Below are 26,398 nucleotides of genomic sequence, written 5' to 3' on the forward strand. Positions count from 1 at the left end.
GGGAAGCAGCATCGGGGGTGCCTCAGCCATGGCCTGGACCCCTTTCCTCCTCGGCCTCCTCCCTCACTGCACAGGTGCTGCCCCCAGGGTCTCACTCACTTGCCCAGCCCCAGGCCTCTGGGTCCAGCCTGGCCCTAACACTGAGCTCAGTAGGGCCCTACCTGTGGTGGGCAGGATGCTCATGAACCTGCCGCAGGGCAGGGGGCTGGTGGGGCAGAAATCCCCCCACACTGTGCTCCTGTTCTCTTGGTGCCCTAAGGGCACTTTTATTCCTGGGGCTCAGGTCAGTTCAGGCAAGTGGCAAGATATTCTTTGGTTAATCCCCAGAGTTTCAGGCCTTTTCGCTCCTCTTTTCTCTCCTTGCAGGCTCTGTGGCCTCATATGTGCTGACACAGCCACCCTCAGTGTCAGTGGCCCCAGGACAGACACCCAGGATCACCTGTAGGGGAAATAATATTGGAATTAAACCTGCTTAATGGTACCAGCAGAAACCAGGCCAGGCCCTTGTGCAGGTCATCTATGGGGATAGCAGATGGCCTTCAGGGATCTCTAAGTGATTCTCCAGCTCCAACTCGGGGAACATGGTCACCCTGACCATCAGTGGAGCCCAGGCTGGGGACGAGGCTTTCCTCTCAGGTGTGGGGCAGTGGCACTGCACACAGTGACAGAGGCAGACAAGGAAGTAAGACACAGACCCCTTCCCCATCTGTGCTGCTGTCGTCCTCCAGCCCGGCAACACTGTGGACAAAGCCATGAGCATGCATGACCCAGTTCACCTGGATCTGAGACCCCCAGTCTTTACTTCCTTCAGCCCTCCAGGCAGGCTGTGCAGAGGGGGCATCCAGAATGGATTTAGGGCTGAGGTGACCAGGATGTATTGGGGTTTTGTGGACTCCACTGTGATTCAGGGAAATTAGATCTTCCAAGCAGACCAAGGTCAATATCCTCAGTTATCTCTGGATTTCCATAGGTGGTGATAGGCCAGTCCTTGGCCGAAATGTCCTGAATCAGTCCCCAGAACTGCCCAGCTGAGGCTCCTGTCATTCTCTACAGAAAAACTAGTGGAGTGGACACTGTGGGATCCTCCCAGATCCCCTCTTATGAGCTCACCCACACAGCACTCCTGGGAGCTTCTGGCAGCTCAGAGCTGTTCGGTGCAGAAATCTGCCTCCCCCAGGTTTATGTCTCTTCTCAGGGAGGTTTGGTTTCATGACTGCCTGTGGCCAAGGTCTCAAGACTCTTCCTCAGTATAACAGGACCTGAAAATCCTCCAAGATCCATAGCTCCTTGTAGGGCTGACTGAAGCCTCAATATGTGTCAGGGCCTCCTTCTGCCTGGTGTTGCCTCCATCACTTTCTTAATCATCTGTGTATGATATTCTCCATCTCAGAGTCTGTTTCCAGGGAACCCAAACTAAGATCACCAGCCATCCCCAACACGGGCCATGAGGGAGCTGAAGAGGCCACTGTACACTAGAAAGCATCAGTTTACTCTTAAATTACCACTGCGAGTCTGCAAATGCCCAGCGAGACCTGAGTGGTTTTTTTTTTCATTTGTGTGAAATGAAAAGGGAGACTGACATGCCAGATGCTCTGGGTTCTGAGGGAGAGTTGGAGTCAGATCCTCCTGCAGGAATCCAGGGGCAGCAGGAGCAGCCTCGCCCCATGCAGGGACCACAGATGCACCCAGAGGGTGAGCTGCAGGATGGACACTGCCCACCTCCAATCTGTATATCCTGTGCAAAAAAATCATTGTTTTCACCCCTTCTTCAGCCTATCAAAGTTGTCACTTAAAAAGCCACTACATCTCATCCTGTGAACAGGAAACCCATCCACATCTCCATCAGCCACATAATCTCCACATAAAGATTCTTCAAAAAATAGTAATAATAGCTGTGAAAAAGTATCTAAAATATTGCATGACAATCATACTTAGATTACATATGAAAATGGCACTATTTTTGATATGCTAGGTAAATAAAATATATTATTTGAAGTCATTTACCTTCTTCTCTTTATATGTCTAATGTGGTGACTAGACTAGCCTAGTGGGATTCCCATTAGGCTCATCATACTGTGATTGAACAGTGCTGGTCTGCACCTCTTCAGGTTAACAGGGGCTGTGGAGTGACCTGGTGCAGGAAATATCATCTCCATCCATAGGATATCAGTGTGAACCCAGGGAGAGGCACTGGTGCAAGAGAGATGAGAACAGGGGTGTGGAGTAGGGGACTGAGCCTTCACTTTGAGCCGAAGAAGTTTCCTTTCCTATCCTCAATCCTGAACAAGAGGGATTTCTGGACTTCTTTTTGTTTTCAAGTTTGTGCCCCTTCAGATTTGGGGCTGTCTGGAATCCTGCCAGGGGACACCGAGAAAAAATAGGAGTCTCACACTGACTGTTGTATTTCATCTGCTGGGGCCATCCCAAACCACTGCGTACAATTTCCTTTCCTGGTGCTCAAATAGCTGCTCCACGCACTTGTTGTGGTTTCAGAGATGAATCTGGGTGGGAAGACAGGACAGTGTATGTTATAATATTTAAATGGAACCCAAATCCATTAATATTTATTTTAATATGGAACATTAAAAGAGTTTTGTAATAGGCAATGGGAAAAGGTAAAAAAGATAAAAGCTTTTTGAGAAAAAAAACAAAAACAAACTTATAGAATGTCTATGTGTCTTCAGTGTTGCAGGGTTGAGAGAGATCAGCTTTATGGTGCCCCATGGATGTGCTGAGATGGGGAAAATCAAGAAAGAAGGAAGTATGTACCACTGTGACTCAACAAATAAATCAAAGTAAAATGGACTTAAATCTTTCAATAAGTCATTCACAATAAATATCACTCTGGTGCACACAGAAATGCCTGTTAGCAAACTTTCCCTTCCCCCTGGCCATGTCTCCATGGATCACCTGTGTGCAGAGTGGCTCCGGTCAGTGCTCTGTGTTCCCTCCACAGGGCTCCCCACAACATGTGCCCTGTGTGGATGTGGGTGCATCGCCTGGGGTGGCTGATGTGCTCCAGGGATTCGATGCTGCAGATGCCTCAGCACCAAGGGTGGGGGTGGGAATGGGACAAGGCTGCAGCTGGGGAGACCAAGGATCAACCACACACAGCAGGGGTTTCCACGGGGTGAGCAGCCTCATTTCCTGACAGTAGAGCGAGCCTAAAGGTAGGTGCCAGGCAGTGGTATCTGTGGGGTGGCCCAGGCCTGGAGGGTCACAGAGACACAGGCACCACACAGCAGAGACACTGAGGGCCAGGAGCTCACTCAGGTGAGGGACTTCAGCAGATCTTTCTCTCCTGGTACAAAGAGATCAAGTTCCTACCATCAGAATAGACAAACAAGGACTTTAATCTCCTCAGCTGAGCCCCACTGTCCAGGGAAGAAGTCTCTGAGCCCAGGCCCAGGTGAGAGTGGGATGAGGAGAGGAGCCAGGACACAGATTTTCATGGATGCCCCGCCCTCCTCTGAGGCAGAGCGGATAAGACAGGGCTGGGGGCATACCCAGTGCTTGAGTCTCAGGAGGCAGCGCTCTCGGGACGTCTCCACCATGGCCTGGGCTCTGCTCCTCCTCACCCTCCTCACTCAGGGCACAGGTGATGCCTCCAGGAAAGGGGCCTCAGGGACCTCTGGGCTGATTCTTAGTCTCCTGCTCCTCAGGCTCACCTGGGCCCAGCACTGACTCACTAGAGTGTGTTTTTTCCTTTTTCCGGGCTCTCGGGCTCAGTCTGCCCTGACTCAGCCTCACTCAGTACCCGGGTCTCCTGGACAGTCGGTCACCATCTCCTGCACTGGAACCAGCAGTGACGTTGGGCATTATAACTATGTCTCCTGGTGCCAGCAGCACCCAGGCACATGATTTATGAAGTCAGTTATAGGCTCTCTGGAGTCTCTGATCACTTCTCTGGCTCCCAGCTCTGGCAACATGGCCTCCATGACCATCTCTGGGCTCCAGGCTGAGGACGAGGCTGATTATTACTGCAGTTCATATACAAGCAGCAACATTTTCCACAGTGGACATAAGATTGATTCTCAGGCTCCAAGTCTGGCCAGTGAGCTTCTTTGAGACTCCCTGGGATCCCAGCAGTGACACTGATCACTATTGCTGTCCCACACATCCCAAGTGATGAGGAAGTAAGACCAAAACCCTCCTGAGATTCCTGACTTGTGTCCTGACACCAGGGCTGTTGGGATTCCTGTCTTTCCTTCAAGATTGTTCAAATAAGCAGTGACAGTCACTTCCATGTGAGATATGAGAAGAAGAATAATTCCATATGAACCAAATCCACGAAGCCTACACTGAAGCCTGCCAAGTTCTCTGCAGTCCAGCGCGATGAAGGGAGCATTTTCGTGGGAACTTTTGGGAATATGAGGGGAGCCAGGCTCAGCTATGGGTTCCAGAGACAAAGCTCCTGGATGTTTCTCCCCGGCCTTGGTCCATCACCTGCTACCTCTCCTCACTCTTTCCACAGACACTGCCCCAGGCTAAGCCCCCACAGGACCCTAAGCCTATTCCTGACCCTGAGCTCAGCCCAGGTGATGCTTCAGGAGATGGGATCCTGAGAATGAGCCCCAACATCTCTTTAACCTAAGGTGTGGGGTCATGAGACACCTGTTAGCCATAAGACACCTGTCCCCCACCTGCTCAGGAGACAGTGGAGCAGGCAACAGTGCAGAGAGAACCAGCAGGAGCCAGGCCAGGCCCTGCATCCAAAGCAGGCCCCAGTCCCCACAGATTCTCCAGCTCTAGCCTGTGGTACAGCCCCCACTTTCTGCAGGCTGAAATGGGCTTCTCAGGATGGGCAGGCCATGATGGGGGATGGCAGTGTGTCCACAGGACACAGCCCTGCTGCCTGCCTGACCCTCATGCCCCCTCCTTCCCCACCCTGGTTAATCTCCACCAGAAAGGGCCCAGGTTCAGAACTCAGGACACCTGGATCAGCTCCTGGACTTGCCCCCACTGCTCTCTGTTCTCCTGAGCCACTTAGTCTCTTTTGGCCTCAGTGTTACCTGCTGTGAAGTGAGGAGGCTTATACTGAACTGAGGAAGCTCTTTTCTTCATTCAAAATTAAAAGACAGAAAAACAATGAAAGTCATGTAAATTAAAGCCTGCTGAGGGGATGTCATTTAATGGGCTTCAGTGGGTTTCAGACGTGGAACTTCTTGTCTTTTCTCTGCAGGGATTCCAAGACAGGGGCTCAAAAGAGCTTGCTTTCTGTATGGTGGGAACAGCGGTCCCTAGCTGAGAATAAGCAGGAGATTCCCAGCTTCATCAGGAAGGCAGACTAGGCTAGTGTAGAAATCCTCTCCGTACAAACTCTGAGAGGTGTTGAATAAAATAAAGATAAACATAATTTCATGTTTTCATGGTGCCGATGATGGTGATGTTAGCTCACAACTAAGCTGCAGTGCCTGGAACATCAGGAAATCACAGTGAATCACAGCTGCTCTTATTGGGTGGGAGGTGCACCAGTTTGATGCCTAAGTACATAGAAAGCCTGGGTCCCTGTAGGATGGCACATGCATCTCTCTGGACTTTGAAAGCTTTGCAGAAGAGCTTCAGTTGACTCACTCTAATTAGTCCGGACTGAACAAAACCACTAGAGGAGGGCATTTCAACCCTGAGACACTTCTATAGCCCCAACTTCCTACCCTGCGTGTGCGAACTCTCTGTGCTGGGCTGGGCAGGGCAGATTGGGTCACCCTGCACAGAATGGGGCTGGACTGTCTGGTCCTCAACTTCTGAGGTGACAGGTGCTGTGGAGGCACGTGGAAGAAAAAAGCTCCTGGGCTGAGTCTCCTCCACCAGCTGGGGGCAGCAGAGCTGCAGCCAGGAGCAGTCAGGATTAAGGCTGGGGCTGCCCAGCTGGGGCAAAGAGAAGGCCAGCCTGGCGTTCAACAGGTGTCCAAGAATCAGTCTTCAGACTGAAAGTGAGTGCAGTTCATCCTATCCCCTCAGGCTGCAGTGACCATTCTCTGAGGGTCAGACTCATACAGTGTCACCCCAGGACACTGACAGAAGCCCGGCACAGTGAAGGCCTCACCTGGGAAATGCAGCTGGAGGAGGCTGGGACCAGGTGTCAACTGGGGCAGCTTACTCAGGAAGGGGATTTCTTTGGAGACATCCCAAGGTTGAGGTGCTCTAGGAGGGGGCACAGCGTGAGGTGACGGGGCTCCCAGGGCCCGGGTTCTTCACCCAGGATGGCTGTCTGAGCCTCCTGCCACTCTCAGGGCCTTGTCCCTCTCAGTCCAGCAGCAACCTGGGGAGCTGAGCCCTCTGTCCTGGGCACTTCCAGATACACCATACCTCACTTCCTTCTGCCTCACCTTCCAGCTCCAGGCGGACTCTGACTCAGGGGGAAACTCCTGTGCTCAGGGGAGTCTCGGGTGGGTGGGGTGAAGCATTTGGGATCCTGATCCCTTCATGGGGCATCCCCAGCATCCTTAAGGAGACACTCTTCAGAGGGACAGGGCTTCTCACCTGCCTCAGCTCTGACCATGGGGCTGTCCACACTCAGTGACAGGACACTGACCAGGGATCTGACTGGAGTGACCAGGAACCTGGCTGGGGCAACCAGGGACCACCCACCCTCTGGAGCTCACATGCTGTGCAGAGACCATGACCCTGGGACCCCTTCAGAGACCATGGGGCCTGAAGTTAGATTTTCAGTCCAGTGTGGTTTTCTCCTGCTTTTTGCAAGTTTACATAAAACATTGATGAGAAAAACATACATAAATAACAGACGAGCTGAGGGTGCCAATTGCTAATCTCTTGTGGCAATGAGGGGTGATGTAGCAGGAGCAGCACCATGGCTGAAATGAGACCAGAGGCCCTGTTGACTCCACAGGGGTGTGTGGTTGCTTAAATGACCCAACTATTCCCACTGAATAATCAGCAAGTGTCCCAATGACACAGCACAGCATTTAGATGAAATGAACAAGAGGGGACTGAGTCTGAGGGACCAGGGGGAGGAAGATCATGGGTCCCTGGGCCACCTGCTGCTGAGTCAGGTGTCAGCAAGATCTCTCCGCAGAGCCCAGCTCAGCCCATGGCCAACCTCCTGGAAGGTCCACAGCTCTGCTGAGCCTGGCCCAGGACAGACCCCAGGTCAGCGAGGTTTGGGACAGTGGTCATGAGATTAATTCCCAGAAAGGTGACTGTGATCACAGGGCTTGAAGGCTGCAGCTGATTTTCTAATCTGAGACCCTGCTTCTTCCTCCTGTTGCCTGTGCTGCCCTCACAGCTGGTTTGAGTGACATCTCTCCAGGAGGAGTCGCAGAGGATGTAAATTTGCATAAACGCCAAACACTGACTGCCCCCAAAAGCTGGAGAGGGAATAAGAGAGGCCTGGGGAGCCCAGCTGTGCTGTAGGCTCAGGAGGCAGAGCTCTGAATGTCTCACCATGGCCTGGATCCCTCTCCTGCTCCCCCTCCTCATTCTCTGCACAGGTGCTGCCCCTAGGCTCAGTCTCCACAGACCCCAAGTTGAGCCTGACCTGAATCCTGAGCAAAGCCCTGCCACTGCCTCTGGGGGGGATTCCTGGCAATGCGTCCTTTGTCCTCAAGCCCCCTCTCCTGTCTTTTCTTGCAGTCTCTGTGGCCTCCTATGAGCTGACACAGCCATCCTCAGTGTCAGTGTCTCCGGGACAGACAGCCAGGATCACCTGCTCAGGAGATGTACTGGCAAAAAAATATGCTCGGTGGTTCCAGCAGAAGCCAGGCCAGGCCCCTGTGCTGGTGATTTATAAAGACAGTGAGCGGCCCTCAGGGATCCCTGAGCGATTCTCCGGCTCCAGCTCAGGGACCACAGTCACCTTGACCATCAGCGGGGCCCAGGTTGAGGATGAGGCTGACTATTACTGTTACTCTGCGGCTGACAACAATCTCACAGTGACACAGGCAGATGGAGAAATGAGACACAAACCCCTTGCCATCTGTGTCACCTTCTTCCTCCAGCCCCAGGAGGACTGTGGACAAAGCCACGAACAGGTCTGGCCCAGTACACCCAGATCAGAGACTCTGAGGCCTCCTTCCTTCCAGATCTCTACGGAGGCCCTACAGAAGGTGGATCAATAATAAATTCGGGGTTGGCAGGTCCAGTAGGTCCTGGTGTTTTCTGGGCTGGAGTGTGACTTGGGGAAAAATGACTTGAATGGAAGTACAGTCAGTGGGAGACATCTATTGAGTGGTGATGGTCCCAGTATTTCCTTGTGTGGTGACTGAACCTAGGGCAGTGCCACTACTCTGTGGCCCAAATGCCCTGGGTTATTCCTCTGAGTTCCCCGTGTATTATTGAGATGCTCCAGCCCCCACTCTCATGGTATCCTGATCTGAAGAATCATGGCCAGTGCCCATTGCAGTGTCTCCATCTAGGTGCCATTTTCAGGACTCATGCATCCAGCATCCAAACAAGGCTGTGTGGGAGACCGTGACTTGTCACAGCTGTTCCCCACTGGAAAATGCCACTGAGCTGCAGAGAACTGCTCTCCCAGTGATGTTCCCCCTTCACAGTGTGGTTCAGGTGCAATGCCTGCCTGGTCCCTAGATTTTAATGCCATGTTTTCATTTAAAATAACCACGAAGTGTCTCTTGCTGAGCGCTCCGGTGTAACACATTCCCAGTCATGCCTCTCACAATTTTCTTTCTGACAAAATTTCCTGAAACCCTATTGCAATGAATTCTCCCTCTCAGAGTAGGATTGCAGGGAGTTCACAAATTAACAAACAAACCAAATACTGTCTAGAAGAAAGAGGATCAAAGAGGAGAGAGCTGCACAGGGAGCGCACTCTGGAGTCTGCAGATATTCATGAGCACCGATGAGCATGTGCATGGGAGGAAACCTTCTGTGATAGAGAAAATAACCATTCAAAGACATTTGAGGAAACACTCCATAGAGCTCACACACACATCCATGTGCACACACATGCACAATCAGAATAGTGCCTGTTCCTCCGCTCCATGAAGAAAGGCCCGAGTTAAAGTGGGTGAGATTTACCAGTGAGAAGAGCTTTGCCTCAGTACTGGGGAAAACATTGCCCTAGACAAAAGGCATCTCTGGTGTTAACTAAGAAAGTGTACGGCCCCTGTGCTGATGCCCATGTCAAAGACCATCACACGTATTTTAACCAACTAGCCCAGAGTTGTCACCAAGAGTTTGATCTTACAATAATTCTGCAATGAACATCCCTATTCAGACTCCTTGGAGTTCACCTATGAAGATTACCATAGAATAAATCTCTAGAAGTTGAATTGTTAGGTCAAAAAGAAGTACGTTTGTAATTTTCACTGATTATTCTCAGATTCCTATTCACGGGGGGGTTGTACCAATTTACAGTGCCAGCCATAAATCTTTGACGTGAGTATGCTGTTGAAAGTTTGGGTTTTTGCCAACATGGTAGATTAAAATTTTGTTGTCTTGTAACAGTGTTATTTTGGATTTCTCCTATTCTGCTTGAGGTTGAACATTTTCTCAAACATTTCAGGGCTCTTATATTTTAGGATTTAGTGAGCTTTTTTCTAAAATGGCCAGGTAAGGAGGGTTTTAGCCCCTGTGGGCCAAGAGTCAACTTTGACCATATTATGAGGGAACTTATAACTCCAGTTACAATGTAACCATTTAAAGCTATAAAAACCACTCTCAGCTCTGGGACCACACAAAACAGGTGGCAGGCCAGGGGTGGCCACAGGATGTGGTTTAATGGTCCCTGTTTTGTAGGGTCATTTGAAGTTTAAAAATTTCACCAGCATATATTTTAGGTGGAGATCTTTTTGTGGGTAATACTGTATTTCACCGCCTATAGTGGCCTGAGATTTCTCTCTAGATAAGAACACACTTTTCTTATTTTTTGGATGGATTTTGGGTCTATCTGTGATAGCCCTGTGTCATAAACTCATAACTTTTGTGTCCGTCCTTTTACTGTGATTTTTGGGAGTGTGACAGTATATCAGGAATACACTATCCAGGGTGGAAAATCAGAGAGAGGGGGAGGAGCAAGTGGGCAAGGAAGCTTGTACCAAAGCTGGAATATCCACTGCAGCAGGCTCAGAGAAAAGGGTCCTAATATCAGCATTTGACTGAAGCCAAAACCACAAGAGACCATAGAGGTTCTGAGGATGACAAATAAAAACATAGTTTAAGTTTTAATGCATTCATTATTTTTATAATCCACAAAAATTCTAAAACTCAGAATTTAACAATGGGATAAGGAAAAGAGTTTGAGATGTTAAACGATAAAGACCCCAAGGAAAGTTGCCAGGAAAAGAACAGGACCTTTTTGGTGGAACTATGTTTATGCTGTAAATTACCCTCTTCTATATGTCTATATATATATTTAGGTATAAGAGAACATCTCATGGAACACCCTTCTTCACCACAGTCAAAGATCACCCTCACCCAAGGAGGGAACCGAAAGGGAACGTCAATATGAGACAGAAAACATAATGCACTTTTGTATAAACATTAGGAGAGTCTCTATTTGCATATCAAATGTGGATGCTTAATGTTAACATTGGAAATAGTAGGTTAATATGCATGTGAGGTGAGTTTTCTTTTGACTATTTCTGTCTGTGATTTATCTTTCTTAATAGGGACATTTCTGCCCTTAGAACAACTTAACTTGTGATATTTTTTGTTCTATTATCTGTATCAGCTCTGTTTTTTTTTTTTCAAACAGTGGCAAAGATATCCCATGACTAATGATTAATAAATTCAATTAATGGGTATTTAAATTATTTCAAGAGTGGACAGTTGTGACTTCCCCACATCTAACTCACAGATGTCGCTGATGCTGACTCACTCTTCTCTTCCAATCATAGCAAATAAAGTGGGAGCTTTGACTTTTCTGAAGACCCAGATGACAACAGGAGAGAGGAGGTGAAACCCCCTAAAGCTGTTATCCTTTAAACCCTCAGGAGGAATCATCCTGGAGAAACACCCACACTTGAGTTGGATTATACCTAAATGAGAGTTTGGTCTTAGAGTTGGTGCTGAGTTAGTTCAGGATTTGGGTTGTTGGGATGGAGTGAATGCGCTTTACAAGTGAAAAATACATGAGTTTTTGGGTCCATAGGTTGGAGAGTTCTTGGCTGAATTGTGTCCCCCAGAGTTCATACAATGAAGCTCTAATGCACGGTGTGTGACTGAATTTGGAGAGAATCTTTAAAGAGGTGATTCAGTGAAAATGAAGTCATGAGGGTGGGTTCTTATCGAATCTGACTGGTGTTCTCGTGAGAAGAGAAAATTTGCACACACAAAAATGAGACACTCGAGATGAGCGTGCAGAGGAAAGACCGTGTGAGGACTCAGCAAGGAGGTAGCGACCCGCAAGCCAAGGAGAGAGGCCTCAGTGAAAACCAAACCTATAAACACTTTCATCTTGACTCCCCAGCTTCAGAACTGTGAGAAAATAAGTGTCTGCTCTTTAGGCCAGCAGGTCTTTGGTATCTCATTAAGGTAGCACTAGCAAATGAAAACAAAAGGGACCCCAAAGACCTTGGATGCGGGAGGAGGAGGAGATGGAGCAGGGTGCAGGAGGTGGGGCAGGGAGGGGCTGGAAGTTCAGGCTCTGAGGTCATCTCCTGGGTGGAATCCTGACTCCACTCACTGCTGTCTGGGGACTTGGGGAAAAACAATTAACCGCCCAATATTAATTCCATAGTAAAGATCGGGCCTTGAGCACAGGATTCCTCATCTTCCTTTTTTATATGATGAAAGTCTTCTTGAGGTCATGCTTGTAAAACACTCAGCAATGTATCTGGCATACACTATGGTCTCAGAAGTGGTTATTATGAATTTTCTAGTGATATGTAGAGGATGACATTGGTCCTGTGGGCAGAGGGGGCACTGTGGACCTTGGTTTGAGGACTCTGAAAGACACCAAGTCCGCTGGTAGTGCTCAAGAGCGAAGAGCATCACAGATGCTTCCTCCCAGGCCCCTTCTATTGGGTAAAATTTACTCTCCACTCCTGACACCCATCTGGTCCTTCTTCTGACCTTAGCACATTATCAGTTTGAAGACTTAAGGCTCAGGGCTCAGATGGGAGCTAGGACAGGCACACTGGGGAATGAGGAGTAGATTTGCATTCACTGCTCATCAGAGAGCCCACCCAACAAGGATACAAGAATAAAAGAAGTAGATTTGCATGAAGAGCCTCTCCTTCCCATGATAAGAGAGGCCTGAAGGTCCCTCCCCAGCCATGGGCTCAGAGACAGAGCTATGTGGCATCTCCACCGTGGCCTGGACCCCTCCCTTGCTCACCCTCCTCCGTCTCTGTGCTGCCTCCCAGGGCTCAGCCCCCAAAGGACCAGAGATCAGACTGGCCCTGAGCTTCAGCTCAGCACAGGGAGTGATGCAGAGTGTGGGGCTCTGGGAATGACCCTCATCCTCATAATTAACTCTCCTGTCCTCTCTTGTAGGCTCTGTGGCCTCCTCCATGCTGACTCAGGAGCCAGTAGGGTCTGTGGCCCTGGGACAGTCAGCCAGGGTAACCTGCCAGGGAGAAAACCTAAGAAGCCATGGTACAAACTGGCACCAGCAGAAGCCAGGCTAGGCTCCTGTGCAGGTCATACATCGACAAAATAACCAGCCCTCAGGGCTCCCAGACCAATTCTCTGGCTCCAAGTCAGGAACACAGCCACCCTGACCATCACTGGGGCTCAGGTTGAACATGAAGCTGACTATTACCATCACTCATGGGACAGCAGTGCTACTCACCTCACAATGACACAGACAGATTGGGAAGTGAGATCTAAAGACCTTCACTGTCTGTGTCACCCTCTTCCTCCAGCCATAGCAGGACTGTGGAGACAGCCATGAGCAGGGCTGGCCTGGGTCACCTGCATCGAAGTCCTCCAAGCTGCCCTTCCCCCCAGCTCTCCAGGTAGTCTCTGCAGAGAATGAGTCAGGATAGGATTTGGGGCTGGCAGAACCAGGCTGTCCTGCTGTTATTTGGAATGGATGTACCTTGGCTCAAGATGACCTGAGCCATCTTACTGGAAGGACTTACTGGAAGGACGGTAAGAGGGAGACAGCTCCTGAGTGCTCATGGTCACTGAATTTCCTCCTGTGTGTTGACTGAACCCAATGCAGTGCCTCTACTCTGTGGCCCAAATACCCTGGATTATTTTTCTGAACTGCCCGTGTTTAACTGAGACCCTCAAGCCCCAGCTTTGTGCATCCTGATGTTCTGAACATGGAAGCCTTTCACAGTGTGCACTGTGACATCCCTCAGATTCCCGTTTCAGGACTTATGCACCCACCATCCTCCCAGGGCTGCAGGGAGGCCCTGGCTTCTCACAGCTCTTCCCCACCAGAAACTGCCATGCAGTACAGAGAATAGCTTTGCTCAAAGAATTGCCCATTTCAGAGTATGTTTCGGGGGCAATGACTCCCTGATGCCTTAATCTGAAAGTCATGCTTTAATTTAAGACCCTGAATATCAAATTGAAGTGCCTTCTAGCTGAACACTCAATTGTAAAACATTCCCAGTCACACACTCCACACTTCTTTCCTGAGAATATATCCTGAAACCCTATTGCATGGAATCCTCCCTCTCAGAGTAGGATTCCAGGGAACTTAAAAATTAAAAAAAAAAACAACACACCAGTCTAGAGGGAAAAATATTGAAGAGGAGAGAGTTAGGGAGTTGCACAAGGAAAGAACTCTGAAGTCTGCAAATATGCATGCACTGAAGAGCACTTGTGTGTAAAGAAACTCCCTCTGAAAGAGAAAGACCCTTGAGGGAACACTCCAAAGAGTGTGCATGCGTGCGCACACACACACACACACACACTCCAGTCACAGAGGAAAGGCCTGAGTTACAGAGCATGAGGTGGACTCATCAGAAGAGCTTCGGCTCAGTATTGGGGAAAATGTCGGACAGACATAGGGCTACTCCACTGTCAACTAAGAAAGTGTAGAAGCAAACTGGGAAAAGTTAAGACAGTTTCCAAGTAACTTTACTGAATCCAAAAATAAAAGACCAAAATAGAGAAGAAAATGCAAAAGGATTATAAACTCAACAAAGAAAAATTCACAATGATTGGCATTCTGTCAATATTTCTTGCAAGCAAAAAAGAAAATATATGCTTTAACACAGAGAAAAATGAATCAATCCAAAGTGGCCAAAAATTGCACACATGATAGACCTTGTAGGCACGAATTTTGGAGCAATTCTTTTTTTTTTTTTTTTTTTTTTTGATGGAGTCTCACTCTGTTGCCAGGCTGGAGTACAGTGGCGCGATCTCAGCTCACTGCAACCTCCGCCACCCGAGTTCAAGCGATTCTCCTGCCTCAGCCTCCTGAGTGGCTGGAACTACAGGCATGTGCCACCACACCCAGCTATTTTTTTTTTTTAATTTTTAGTAGAGACGGGGTTTCACCGTATTGGCCAGGATGGTCTCGATCTCTTGACCTCATGATCCACCCGCCTTGGCCTCTCAAAGTGGTGAGATTACGGGCGTGAGCCACCGCGCCAGCCTTGGAGCAATTCTTATAACTCTTTTCTCCTTCCTCATGAGAATGGAGGATCTATTGAATGTGTTAAGTGGAGAAATGGAAAGCATAAAGCAAGATGCAAGTTAAACTTTTAGAAATGGCCCCTAAATATCTGCATTGAAAAAATACACTGGATGAGACTCATTGCAGATTAGAAGCTGTGAAGGAATAGATGAGTGAACTTGAAGATATGGCAATGGAAGTTATGCAAGATGAAGCACAAAAAAAGTGAAGAGAGCATCAGTGAGTTTCAGGACATCTTCAAGCTGACTTACTGGTTATAATTAAAGACATGAAGGGAGATAACATTGGTGGGGGGAGAGGAAAGGTAGAAAAGCCATTTAAAGGAATCATGGCCACAATTTCCCAAATTTGGTGAAAGCTAGAAACCCACTACTCCAAAAAGCTTAACAAGTCACATACACACACACACACACAAACACACACACACAAATAACACACCACCAACACTCACCATAATGAAATTGCTAAAAACCTATTATAAAGACATACTTTTAAAAGTAGCCATAAAGACATGGTATGTACAGATGAACAACATCATAAAAAGAACAGATTTCTTTTTCTTTTTAAAATTTTCTTAAACATCTGTGGGTACAGAGTAGGTGTATATGTTTGTGGGATACATGAGATATTTTGATACAGGCATTGCCATGTGAAATAGTCACATCATGGAGAGTTGGGTTTCCATCCCCTCAAGCATTTATCCTTTGTGTTACAAACTACTCAATTACACTATTTCAGGTATTTTAAATTGTACAATTAAGTTGCTGACATGTTATCAAATAGTATTGATGTAACTCTGACATGCTATCAAATAGTAGGTCTTATTCATTCTTTCTATTTTATTTACCCATTAAGCATCCCCTAATAAGAGCAGATTTCTTCTTAGAAGTCATGCAAGCAGGAGGCAGTGGAGCTATATTTATAAAATATTAAAAGAAAAAACTTACTACCAAAACCCATCCACAGACTCAATGCAATCCCTATCAAAATACAAACGACATTCACAGTAGTAGAAAAAAACTCTATAGTTGGTATGGAACCACAAAATCCCCTGAATAGCCAAAGCAATACCAAGCAAAAAGCCCAGGCTGAATATGTCACATTATCTGAATCAAAATATACTACAAACTACAGTAACCAAAACAAGATCGATGGTATTGGCTTAAAATCAGACACTGAGACTAATATAATGGAATAGAATACCCCAAAATAAATTCATATATTTACAGCCAACTGATTTGCAGCAAAAATGCCAAAAACATACGTTGAGAAAATGACATACTTTTCAATAAATGGCGCTGAGAAAAACTGGATATTCATAGGCAGAACCTTGAAACTAGACTTTTATCTCTCTCCCTATACAATAATCAACTCAAAATTTATTAAAACTCCGAAATATAAGACCCAAAACTATAAAACTACTAGAAGGGAACGTAGAGAACACAGGGGAAGTTCTTCAGGACGTTGGTCTAGACAAAAATTCCATAGCTAAGACTTCAAAAGCACAGGGAACAACACGAACTAGACATATGGGACTTCATTAAACTGAAAATCTTCTGAAAAGCAAAGGAAACGATCAACAGAGTGAAGACAACTTCTAGAATGAGAGAAAATATTTGCAAACTATTCAACTCAAAAGGGCCTAAGATCCAGCATAAGAAAATAAGACAAGGAGCTGAAATAACTCATCAGCATAAAAAACAAATAATACAATTAAAAAGTGGATAAATGATATGAATAGACTTTTCACAGTCAAAGACATACAAATGGCCAACAGGTATATGACAAAATGCTCAATATCACTAATCATCAGGGGTACGCAAATCCAAACCTCCATGAGATATCATCTCATCCCAGTTGGATGGCTATCATCAAGAAGACAAAAAAATAACAAACACTGGTGAGGATGTAGAGAAAATAGAAGACAAAACCACATGGTCATCTCAACAGTCACATCAAATGTTTTCATGCGAGGAAACATTACCATTTGTTGTTTTTCTAGTCTTGCTAGAGCATCATAAAAAGATAAGATTTGTGGTGCCACTATTGGAGAAAATGTTATTACATGCAAAGACTCTGGCTATCCCACACCAAACTACATGAACACTTACTGTTAAATGCTAAAAGAGGCCAGGCACGGTAGCTCACACTCGTAATCCCAGCACTTTGGGAGACCGAGGCAGGCGGATCACAAGGTCAAGAGATCCAGACCATCCTGGTGAAACCCCATCTCTACAAAAATACAAAAATTACTTGTATTTTTGCACGGTGGCACACACCTGTAGTCCCAGCTACTCGGGAGGCTGAGGCAGGAGAATTGCTTGAACCCGGGAGGTGGAGGTTGCAGTGAGCCAAGATCACGCCACTGTACTCCAGCCTGGCGACAGAGTGAGACTCAGGCAAAAAAAAAAAAAAAAACCTAAAAGATTACAATTCTGCATTTCCAAATGTTCTGGTGGTCAGAGACCACTTCCTTGACAAGTGGTGAGTACGGGGATCTGATGGGATAGGTGGCATTTAGGCAGGTATTGGGTGAAGAATAGTGATATACACAAGAAACTTTCAAAGAGAAAAACACACGGAAGTTGGAACACAGAAGAGAACATAATATGTCTGAGAAATAAGGAAAGTCCAGACTCACTGGAGCTGAGTGAGAACAAGAAAAATGGCATAAGCCATGTATTTCTCTCTGGATATCTCATCAAAATATTGTCTCCTCCCCAACACACCACCCATGTGAATTATAAAAATGCCCGTTTTTAATTTTTGTTTGCATGTCGTGACAGAGTCAAGCACGTGAATCAAGCTGAGTTTGATGAGTCCAGGGCTGTTAAGCTCCAGACCCAGGTGGCCTCAGAAGGACTTGGTGGAACAAGGGCTTGTTGTCAAAAGCAGAGGAAGTGAGATTTTCCATTGTGGCTTAGACCAGAGATTCTTAAATTCCAGTGGACACACAAGGCCCCTTAAGGATCTGGTTAAGATGCAGATGCAGCCTCAGCAGTTCTGGATGTGGCCCCAAATTCTCTGTGTCCGGCAACTCCCAGGTGAGGCTGCTGCTGCTGGTCCTCCCAGGACCACACTTTGAGTGGCTGAACTCTTATTCACCCACCTCACTCAAGCCACGGGTGAGACTCACACAAGGAGGGCACCTTCTAGAAGCACAGGTCACTTCTCACTCCTCCCCTTGTGTCTTAGATCCTTTCCTGTTACTATAAAGAAGTACCCAAGGCTGGGTAATTTATACAGAAAATAAAAGTTTTATTTGGCAGACAGTTCCAATGGCTGCAGAGTTCAAAATGTGGCATCTGCTCTTGTTGAAGACCTCAGGCTGCTTCCTGTCATGGTGAAAGGTGAAGGCGAGCCAGTGTGTGCTGAGGTCAATGAGGGGAAGGAAGCAAGAGAGAAAGGGAAGATACCAGTCTCATTTAAATAAGCAGCTCTTCTGGAAACAGAGGAAATTCACTCACCCCAAGTGAGGGCATTAATCTATTCATGAGAGATCCACTCCTATCACCCTAAAAGCTCCCATTAATTCCCACCCCCAACACTGGGGATTCAATTTCAGCATAAGATTTGCAAGGGATGAAGATCAAAGCCATAGCACCCTGAGGCTTGGCCACACACTTGCTCATCTCCACATTTGTCCCTTCCTTCAGGACCGGGATCCTGACTGCTCTGACTCAGTCTCCGTCTACCTCATGGACACCTGGCAGTCGGTCATCATCGGTTTTGCTGAATCAGCAGCAACATTGGGGGTAACAATTGTGTCTCCTGGTTCCACCAGAGACAGAGTAGAGACCCACACAGCTGAAGTGTGGGGTCAAATATTAAAACTAAGAGACATAAGATTGATTCTCAGGCTCCAAGTCTGACAAGTGAGCTTCTTTGAGACTCCCTGGGATCCCAGCAGTGACACTGATCACTGTTGCTGTTCCACACATCCCAAGTGATGAGGAAGTAAGACCAAAACCCTCCTGAGATTCCTGACTTGTGTCCTGACACCAGGTCTGTTCTTCCCTCCCCTAGAATAAAACATCTCTTAAGCACAAGGCTGAAGAAATGTGGCCTCCTCCTTTCTCCCACAGCTGGTCAAAGTGGATACCTGAGAGAATTGGCTCACTGAGGCCTCTTGGGAACAAAGGCTGGGTTCCTGCCTGTGATCTGTGTACTGAGACACATTCCGGACCTGCCCAGGAAAGGCAAGTATAGATGATGTTTAGTTGTCACAGAGTCCAAGTAGGGACAATTCAGCGGTGTCTTCTTGGGACCCCTGCCTCTGGCTATTTTCATCTACTTTATAATGGGCCAGGGCCATTATTTCCAACTTGTCATATCCTTTTTCTCCTTTCCTCACCAGGTAAGGAGGTGGAGGACAGTTGATGAGGGCTGGCTTATGAGTTACCCCAGGATGCAAATGACTTTGAAGTCAAGCCCATGTGGGGTCAAGCTCAGTCTATAACCAGGGTCTTTTGAGCTCTGGAGGAGCCAGGCATCCCAGCCATCAAAGAGGTCTTGCATTTGCTAATAAATCCTCTTCTTCCAACCCACAGCTTATCTTGGCTGCCTACCCTCATCTCTGTCAGGAAGCAATCCTTCGTTGTTTAACACCAAATTATTCTTACTTGGTCAGTTTAAAAGTCCCTTCCTCAGAAAGGTCATCTGTGGCCTGAAGACAAAGTGAGAAGGCTTTGCTGCATTTTCATTTGGAACCTTACATTGCCCCTTCTGCAATGTTCTAACCACACATGGCACATATTTACAGGACAGCGTGATAATTCACTTTTGAAAATACAGAATGTGCTCATGGAACAGGACAATGTCATACTTTTGGGGCCTGATGAGCATGTCCTTTTCACAGGACCCCCCAGAGCTGCCCATGCATCCAGAAGGTACCATTCTACTCTATGCAAAACGATGGGGCATTTCTATATTGCAGTTTCTTAGGGTTCCTTAGAAAGAGGCCACCCCCAACACAGAGCTGCACACCTTGTGACCACTTACTGTCAATTCCTCAATGCTGTCTCCAAGTCTCACCATGCACAAGGGAGGAACACAGAGACCCTGGATTCCTAGAGACTTGCATTTCTTGGATGAACAAATCTGGGGTTTGGTTGGTGGCAGAGAGCTCAGGGCTCATGTGTGAGCATCACCTGATGCTTCCTCCAGGGTCAGAGTCCAGCCCCTACCCTGGAAGGATGAAAGATATTGTCCACAGAAGTGGTATAAAGGTAACAGCATCGAGGACGGAGCTGCCTCTTGAAATGGGCTATTGCTTTGCACAACGCTGGAGACCTAAATTATGTTGACTATAATGGAAGAGTAGTCCCTGCGGATGGCCTCTAATTGGGTGGAAGAAAGCAGAGGGTCTGCGTCTGAGAGAGCAGCAATGGGCAGATTCAGCACAGGCATGGGCAGAGCAGCAATCAAGGGTACCTGAGCAGCAATGGCCCCGGGAGAGGCCTGGCACCTGCCGGAAGTGACGTTGGAGACAGAGAAACATCTAAGACTTAAGGCTTCTCTTTCTGTGCAATTCCCCCACCCCACAGTTTATGTGTCACAGATATTGGCACCTCCTTACTGTAAGGGGTCATATGAATAATACAGTCCTCAGGGGCATGGGTTCGAGGGGCAGCCAGGTTTATCCTCGAAGCCCACTTCTGTTACCTGCAGCTGTGTGGCTGTAAGCAAGGCATTTAATCTCTCAGAAAACCATCCTAATGAGAGGTTAAGAACCTCTGAGAAAAAAACTTAGACAAGAATTGACAGTAATTCTTCACTATTGAGGCTGCAGGGATGTAACTTAATCATGTTTGTAAAGTGCATAACACAGAACCTGACATGCCCCAGCTGCTCCTGAGTTGGCAGCAATTATTCCTGACATCACTCATGAGAATTGGACCTGGAATGGGGATGGAGGGAAGGCAGTGCAGAGGGTTTCAGAGGGTTAGGAAAAGAGAGACTTTAATGATTTAAAATGAAGGCCTAGGAGTGGAGACAAGCGTCCTGGGACATTCTCCTGCCAACTCTCACAATGTCTCAGAGACTGTTCCAAGGTGAAGTCTACTAGAGAGCTAAGGGAGGAGTTTGCAGAATCAAGGTTTGCAATGTCATGCATGAGGGGGCAGAGAGTCAGCGGGAGGGAAGACAGCTGAGCTCATCTGAAGGGTATTTATGGTTTTCTGGCCCTAGAGTCCTTGGCCATCCCTCTATGACCAGGGCCTCAGATAAGCAGAGAGCTTATCTGCTTCTCTCCTCCAACGATAGTTCCTGGTTATCCTGAGCCCAGGTCAGTGCAGCTGTGGCCCATTCTCTCCTCTTTGTGCTCAGTGGACAGACCTGGAGGAAACAGTAGGAGGTTCCCCTGCTCTCTGTCCCCAGGGTCCTTTCCTTTCAGTGGCACCAGCCCAGCCCTAGTGTCCATCCATCTGTGCCTGCCCAGTCAGGCCTCCATGCTGCCCCCTGTAATGGCCACAGGTCAAAAACTGATTGTCAGTCTTGAGCAGATTGTCCTGACTCTTTCTGCAAAACTGAGCCTCTCACCCAGCACCAGGACGTCACAAGCAAGGCCAGCTGTAGGAAGGCAAGTAGGGGAGTAACGTGCATCACAGAGTCTGGACAAGACAAAGTAGTTCTGCTGGGACACATCCTGGTGATGTTTCTCAGGATGGTTCAGGTCCCTGCAATTGCAGGCCCAGAGAACAGGACTGAAGGCTGGAAGATGTGCTCCCTTTCTCCTGTACACAAAACAGTGCCATGTGTGCATGTGAGTAAATGCATATGCCTGTGTGCTTGTGTGTGTGCACCTGTGTAAATGCATATGCCTGTATGTGAGAGTGTGTGTGTGTAAATGCATATGATGTGTGTGAGTGTGTGCATGTGTGTAAATGCATATGCCTGTGTGTGTGCATGTGTGTAAATGCATATGCTGTGTATGAGTGTGTGTGCATGTGTGTAAACGCATATGCCTGTGTGTGTGCATGTGCATGTGTGTAAATGCATACACTGTGTGTGAGTGTGTGTGCATGTGTGTAAATGCATATGCCTGTGTGCTGGTGTGTGTGCATGTGTGTAAATCCATATGCCTGTGTGTGAGTGTGTGTGCCTGTGTGTAAATGCATATACTGTGTGTTGGTGTGTGCATGTGTGTAAATGCATATGCCTGTGTGTGTGTATGCATGCGTGTAAATGCATATGACTGCGTGTGAGTGTGTGTGCATGTGTGCAAATACATATGCCTGTGTGCTGGTGAGTATGCATGTGTGTAAATGCATATGCCTGTGTGTGCATGTGTGTAAATGCATATACCTTGTGTGTGTGCACATGTGTAAATGCATATGCCTGTGTGTGAGAGAGTGTGTGTAAATGTGTGTGCTGTGTGTGAGTGTGTGCATGTGTGTAAATGCATATGCCTGTGTGCTGGTGTGTGCACATGTGTGTAAATGCATATGCTGTGTGCTGGTGTGTGTCCATGTGTGTAAATGCATATGCCTGTGTGTGAGTGTGTGCATGTATGTAAATGCATATGCTGTGTGTGTGTGTGCATGTGTGTAATGTATATGCCTGTGTGTGTGCATGTGTTTAAATGCATATGCTATGTGTGTGTGCATGTGTGTGTGAGTGTGTGTGCACTTGCATGTGTGTGTGCATGTGTGTAAATGCATATGCTGTGTGACTGTGTGTGCATGTGTGTAATGCATATGCCTGTGTGTGAGTGCATGTGCATGTGTGCACATGTGCATGTTAGTGTTGCCAGGGAGTGCTTCAAGTATCGAATGTCCCAAATTCACAACTTTTCTATTTTCCTCACTTACCTCCTCCCTGACACATGCTTCTCAGTTAAGTGAGTTCATATGCGCAAGGCCTACAAACAGGCAAGGCATGGGCCATAGTCAGTGCTGAGTCAGTGTCATCAAATATTGTTATGCTTATATAGAACCTTGTCCAGGGTGGGCCAAATGTATGCCCCTGTCTTGTCCTGACAGAGCAGCAGAAAGGGAGACTGAGACAAAACAATGGCCAGGGCCCTGGCAACACGGAGACACCTTCCCACTCCTGTGAGCTTCACAGACAACCCTGGGTATGGGATTCCTGTCATTCCTTTAAGATTGTTCAAATAAACAGTGACAATCACTCTCATATGATATATGAGAAGAAGAAGAATTCCATATAAACCAAACCCATGACGCCCACACTGAAGCCTGCCAAGTTCTCTCCAGTCGAGCCCAATGGAGGGAGCATTTTCATGGGGACTTTTGAGAGTATGGAGAAGACCTGAGGAAACCAGGCTCAGCTGTGGGCTCCAGAGGCAAAGCTCTGGGATGTCTCCCCATGGCCTAGACCCTTCGCCTGCCACCTCTTCTCACTCTTTGCACAGATGCTTCCCCCAGGCTAAGCCCCCACAGGACCCTAATCCTAGTCCTGACCCTGAGCTCAGCCCAGGTGATGCTTCAGGAGATGGGACCCTGAGAATAAGCCCTAAAGTCTCCTCAACCTGCAGGCTCTGTAGTCTCTTAAAGACTCAGGTACCTCCAGTAGAGTTGGCCATGAGACATCTGTCCCTCCAACTGCTCAGGAGCAGGCAACAGTGCAGAGAGAAACAGCAGCCCAGGCCAGGCCCTACACTCAAAGCAGCCCCCAATCCCCACAGATCCTCCAGCGCTAACCTGGGGTACAGGCCCCACCTCTGCAGGCTGAGGTGGGCTCCTCAGCATGGCTAGGCCATGACGGGGGATGGCAGTGTGTCCATGGGACACAGCCCTGCTGCCTGCCTGGCCCTCATGCCCCGTCCCTCCCCACCCTGGTTAAGCTCTGCCCCAAAGGGCCCAGGTTCATAACTCAGGACACCTGGATCGGCTCTTGGACTTGCCCCCACTGCTCTCTGTTCTCCTGAGCCACTTAGTTTCTTTTGGCCACAGTGTTACCTGCTGCGAAGTGAGGAGGCTTATACTGAACTGAAGAAGCACTTTTCTTCATTCAAAATTAAAAGATAGAAAAACAATGGAAGTCATGCGAATGGGGGGATGTCATTTAATGGGCTTCAGTGGGCTTCAGACATGGAATTTCTTGTCTTTCCTCTGCAGAGATTCCAAGAAAAGGACTCGAAAAGAGCTTGCTTTCTATATGGTGGGAACAGCAGCTGCCAGCTAAGAATAAGCAGGAGAGTCCCAGTTTCATCAGGAAAACAGACTAGGCTAGTATGGAAATCCTCCCTGCAGAAACTCTGAGAAGTGTGGAATGAAATAAACATAAACATGAAATTAATCTGCCAACGATGGTGATGTTAGCTCACAACTAAGCTGCAGTGCCAGAAACATGCGGTGATTGCAGTGAATCATAGCTGCTCTTACTGGGTGGGAGGTGCACCAGTTTGCTTCCTAAGTGCATAGAAAGCCTGGCACGCACGTCTCTCTGGACTTTGAAAGCTTGGCAGAAGAGCTTCAGTTGACTTACTCTAATTAGTCCTGACGGAACAAAACCACTAGAGTAGGGCATTTCAACCCTGAGACACTTCTGTAGCAATTGTTCCTGCCCCACATCCCTGCACTGCATGTGTGACCTCTCTGTGGTGGGCTGGGCAGGGCAGATTGGGCCACACTGGCACAGAATGGGGCTGGACTCTCTGGTCCTCAACTTCTGAGGTGACAGGTGCTGTGGGGTCACCTGGAAGGAAAAAGCTCCTGGGCTGAGTCTCCTCCACCAGTTGGGGGCAGCAGAGCTGCAGCCAGCAGCAGTGAGGAGAGAGGCTGGGGCTGCCCAGCCGGGGAAAAGAGGAAGGCCTGCCTGAGGTTCAACAGGTGTCCAAGAATCAGTCTTCAGACTGAAAGTGAAGACAGTTCATCCTATCCCCTCAGGCTGCAGTGACCACGCTCTGAGGGTCAGACTCATATAGTGTTACCCCAGGACACTGACAGAAGCCTGGCACAGTGAAGGCCTCACCTGGGAAATGCTGCTGGAAGAGGCTGGGCCCAGGTGTCAGCTTGGGCAGCTTCCTCAGGAAGGGGATTCCCTGGAAGAAGTCCCGAGGTCAAGGTGCTCTAGGAGGGGCACAGTGTGAGGTGACGGGGTTCCCAGGGCCTGGGTTCTTCACCCAGGATGGCTGCCTGAGCCTCCTGCCACTCTCAGGGCCTTGTCCTGCCCTGTCCAGCAGTGTCCTGGGGAGCTGAGCCCTCTGTCGTGGGCACTTCCAGATACACCCTGCCTACCCTCCCTCTGCCTTTCCTTCCAGCTCCAGGCAGACTCTGACTCAAGGGCAGCTCCTGTGCTTAGGGGAGTCTCAGGTGGGTGGCGTGAAGTATTTGGGGCCCTGGTCCCTGCATGGGGCATCACCAGCCTCATTGAGGAGACACTCTCCAGAGGGATGGGGATTCTCACCTGCCTCAGGCCACAGCTCTGACCCCGGACCTGTCCATGCTCAGTGACAGGACAATAACCAGGAACCTGGCTGGAGTAACCAGGGACCACCCATCCTCTGGAGCTCACATGCTGTGCAGAGACCATGACCCTGGGACCCTGGGACCCTGGGACCCTGGGACCCTGGGACCCTGGAACCGTGACAGAATCCATGGGGCCTAAAGTTAGATTCTCAGTCCACTATGGTTTTCTGCTGCTTTTTGCAAGTTTACATAAAACATTGATGAGAAAAACATAAATAAATAACAGACGAGCTGAGGGTGCCAATTGCTTATCTCTTGTGGCAATGAGGGAATGGTATAGAAGGAGCAGCACCATGGCTGAAATGAGACCAGAGGCCCTGTTGACTCCACAGGGGTGTGTGGTTGCTTAAATGACCCAACTATTCCCACTGAATAATCAGCAAGTGTCCCAATGACACAGCACAGCATTTAGATGAAATGAACAAGAGGGGACTGAGTCTGAGGGACCAGGGGGAGGAAGATCATGGGTCCCTGGGCCACCTGCTGCTGAGTCAGGTGTCAGCATGATCTCTCGGCAGGGCCCAGCTCAGCCCCATGGCCAAACTCCTGGAAGGTCCACAGCTCTGCTGAGCCTGGCCCAGGACAGACCCCAGGTCAACGAGGTTTGGGACAGTGGTCATGAAGTCAATTCCCAAGAAGGTGACTGCGATCACAGGGCTTCAAGGCTGCAGCTGATTTTCTAACCAGAGATCCTGCTTCTTCTTCTTCCTCTTGTCGCCTGTGCTGCCCCCACAGCTGGTTTGGGTGACATCTCTCCAGGAGGAGTCCCAGAGGAAGTAAATTTGCATAAACACCAAACACTGACTACCCTAAAAAGCCTGAGAGAGAATAAGAGAGGCCTGGGGAGCCTAGCTGTGCTGTGGGTCCAGGAGGCAGAACTCTGGGTGTCTCACCATGGCCTGGATCCCTCTACTTCTCCCCCTCCTCACTCTCTGCACAGGTGCTGTCCCCAGGCCCTGCTCCAGGCCCTGCTCCAGTCTTATTCCCCACAGATCCCAAGTTGAGCCTGCCCTGAATCCCGAGCAAAGCCCAGACACAGCCTCTGGGTGCGACTCCTGGGAATGGGTCCTTTGTCTTCAAGCCCCCTCTCTTGTTCTTCCTTGCAGGCTCTGAGGCCTCCTATGAGCTGACACAGCCACCCTCGGTGTCAGTGTCCCCAGGACAGACGGCCAGGATCACCTGCTCTGGAGATGCATTGCCAAAGCAATATGCTTATTGGTACCAGCAGAAGCCAGGCCAGGCCCCTGTGCTGGTGATATATAAAGACAGTGAGAGGCCCTCAGGGATCCCTGAGCGATTCTCTGGCTCCAGCTCAGGGACAACAGTCACGTTGACCATCAGTGGAGTCCAGGCAGAAGACGAGGCTGACTATTACTGTCAATCAGCAGACAGCAGTGGTACTTATCCCACAGTGACACAAGCAGACAGGGAAGTGAGACATAAA

At 48.4% G+C, this 26,398-nt stretch overlaps 4 pseudogenes, 2 gene segments (V, D, J or C) and 1 further gene, besides 1 other annotated feature; all 7 read left to right on the top strand.

Moving 5' to 3' along the window:
* IGL (immunoglobulin lambda locus) overlaps positions 1-26,398 on the top strand; it is an 896,838-nt gene that overhangs the window by 634,845 nt on the left and 235,595 nt on the right.
* IGLV3-29 (immunoglobulin lambda variable 3-29 (pseudogene)) lies at positions 29-657 on the top strand (annotated as a pseudogene). Its single transcript is given in 2 exon segments — positions 29-74; positions 367-657. Coding segments are annotated over 2 exon segments (337 nt in total).
* Positions 3,553-4,011, top strand: IGLV2-28 (immunoglobulin lambda variable 2-28 (pseudogene); annotated as a pseudogene). Its single transcript is given in 2 exon segments — positions 3,553-3,598; positions 3,716-4,011. Coding segments are annotated over 2 exon segments (342 nt in total).
* Positions 5,945-6,124: a silencer, noted in NCBI's record as "fragment chr22:23009335-23009514 (GRCh37/hg19 assembly coordinates)". NCBI's record gives its function as "represses an EF-1alpha promoter that drives an FKBP-Casp9 reporter gene in an ReSE screen in HepG2 liver carcinoma cells {active_cell/tissue: HepG2}" and the evidence as "EXISTENCE:reporter gene assay evidence [ECO:0000049][PMID:32094911]".
* On the top strand, positions 7,406-7,888 carry IGLV3-27 (immunoglobulin lambda variable 3-27). The segment is given in 2 exon segments: positions 7,406-7,451; positions 7,594-7,888. Coding segments are annotated over 2 exon segments (341 nt in total).
* Positions 12,418-12,717, top strand: IGLV3-26 (immunoglobulin lambda variable 3-26 (pseudogene); annotated as a pseudogene). The gene is given in 1 exon segment: positions 12,418-12,717. A coding segment is annotated over 1 exon segment (300 nt).
* On the top strand, positions 18,014-18,477 carry IGLVVI-25-1 (immunoglobulin lambda variable (VI)-25-1 (pseudogene); annotated as a pseudogene). Its single transcript is given in 2 exon segments — positions 18,014-18,053; positions 18,177-18,477. Coding segments are annotated over 2 exon segments (341 nt in total).
* On the top strand, positions 25,849-26,361 carry IGLV3-25 (immunoglobulin lambda variable 3-25). The segment is given in 2 exon segments: positions 25,849-25,894; positions 26,061-26,361. Coding segments are annotated over 2 exon segments (347 nt in total).

This window comes from Homo sapiens, chromosome 22 (genome assembly GCF_000001405.40).
Source record: "Homo sapiens chromosome 22, GRCh38.p14 Primary Assembly".
NCBI lineage: Eukaryota > Metazoa > Chordata > Mammalia > Primates > Hominidae > Homo > Homo sapiens.